At 41.9% G+C, this 2,043-nt stretch overlaps 1 annotated feature.

Moving 5' to 3' along the window:
- Nucleotides 956–1,005: an enhancer, noted in NCBI's record as "active region_26213". NCBI's record gives its function as "activates an Ori minimal core promoter by ATAC-STARR-seq in GM12878 lymphoblastoid cells {active_cell/tissue: GM12878}" and the evidence as "EXISTENCE:reporter gene assay evidence [ECO:0000049][PMID:35858748]".

The raw sequence follows: 2,043 nt of genomic DNA on the forward strand, positions 1-2,043 counted from the left end.
GTTGGTTTTGCTTTCTTGGGAAGAGTGGGTATAGGCTGGGGATTGTTAGATAGGCTGGTACCTGATGACCTTGGGGTGAAATCCTTTATTAGAGAACTGGCAGGACCGCCCATCAGAACTGGGGGACTGAGGAGGCTCCAGAGAGGGTGTAGGCCTTCTAGGGGGAGCATCTAGTAGGGGGTCCCTTAGGCATGGCTTCCTGGTGCCTGGAAGTAACATGAGCCAGTAAAAAGCTCTAAAAGCCTGCACATAAGGGACCTCTTCCCAATTTCCTTCTACAGAACTAATGTAAAATAATGTAAAGACCCAGGCCTAGGATGGATCTGTTTATTTTCTAATTGGTAACAGACCCAAACAGTGATGCAATAGAAAATGAGTTTCAAATTTGAATTCGCTCCAAGAACCTAAAAGACACCCCGGTGGCAAGTCATCTGGGATACTCATCATTGTTCCCATGGTTTGCTACAGGACTCAGAAGTTTTTCTAATTCTAGTGTGAGTAAAAGCAACTGGGCTCTTGCAACTTTTCCTTTTTAGATTCTTACTAACTGCAGAGAAGGTGAAAGTATAGAAAGCAAGACATTATGAAAGTGGATTATATTTGCCAATGAACAAAGCATGACAAAAAAGTATTTTTATCAAGCAAAGTGTAGAATGAAAAGTGTAAATAAACTGACAATAAGAAAATCCTGTTATGGAAAGTGATATATTTAGGGCAGAAAGCAAGAAAAGGCAAGACCAAGATTCCCCTAGGGGAATTCCAATGCTGAAAACCCCGGAGCATCCAGCGGGCAGCCAATACCAAATGCTGAAAAGCTGGAGTAGCTGAGTATCAACCAGTGGGGTTCCCCACACCAAATGTCAGAAATCTTCAAGTATCTGGGGGCTGGCCAATGCTGAAAACCCCAAAACATCAGTGGGGTGGCCAACAGGAAACCCAAAGGCCTGGTTAGGGCCACAGAACAATGTGACTCTGGTGTCCCAGAGTCAACACAACAGGGGACTTCTCATAACCAAGTGTCTTGCTTTACACAATTGCCCAAATACAGTTAACAGAAAGTCAAAGCAAAAACAAAAAACCAACAAAAACTCTGCAGACAAAATGTACATTTTAGAACTGAAAATAAAATGGCTGGTTGAGCAATAAGATGAAGTCAGAAGAGAAAGGACCAGGGAAAGCAATGACAAGGGTATCTTTGAATTTTTTGTTATTAGAGAAGACTTTTGCAAAAATTTCTTGGTATGACATTTATACATGGCATTCAGGACATGTTACCCCAAAATATGGCACCTTGGCATATTGACTGTTTTAAACTGAAGCATTTGAGAAACCACATGTGCAGAAATAACTTTCTGACCTTCCCCTGAAGTGGGTCATAAGACCCTTATGTGAAAGGTATCCTCCTTCCACCTGAAGGAATGGAGCAACCTTGTCTTCAAAGAGGAAGAGACACCAGTAGAAATCTGAACACACAGGCCTGGCTGTTTCCCCTGGTTTACTATAGCTCATACCTTGTCCTATCACATTTCTCCACAACTCTCCACTCTTGATCAAATCTAGCATTTAAAACACTTATTCTTCACTTCCTTATGAAGGCCGCGTGTCAAGTGAAGCTATATTATAAATTTATATGATTTTCTCTTATAAATCTGTTTTTTGTTACAGGGGCCCAGCTGAGAACTTAGAAGAGTAAATGAGAAAGATATTATATTAGTCTGTTTTCACCCTGCTAATAACAACATACCCAAGACTGGGTAATTTATAAAGGAAAGAGGTTTAATTAACTCACAGTTCTACATGGCTGGGGAGGCCTCATAGTCATGGCGGAAGGTGAATGAGGAGCAAAGTCACGTCTTGCATAGTGGTAGGCAAGAGGTGTGTGCAGGAGAACTCCCCTTTATAAAGCCATCAGATCTCCTGAGACTTATTCCTATCATAAGACCAGCACAAGAAAGACCCGCCCCCATGATTTAATTACCTTCCACTGGGTCCCTCCCATGACATGGGAATTATGGGAGCTACAATTTAAGAGGAGATTTGGGT

This window comes from Homo sapiens, chromosome 7 (assembly GCF_000001405.40).
Source record: "Homo sapiens chromosome 7, GRCh38.p14 Primary Assembly".
Lineage (NCBI taxonomy): Eukaryota > Metazoa > Chordata > Mammalia > Primates > Hominidae > Homo > Homo sapiens.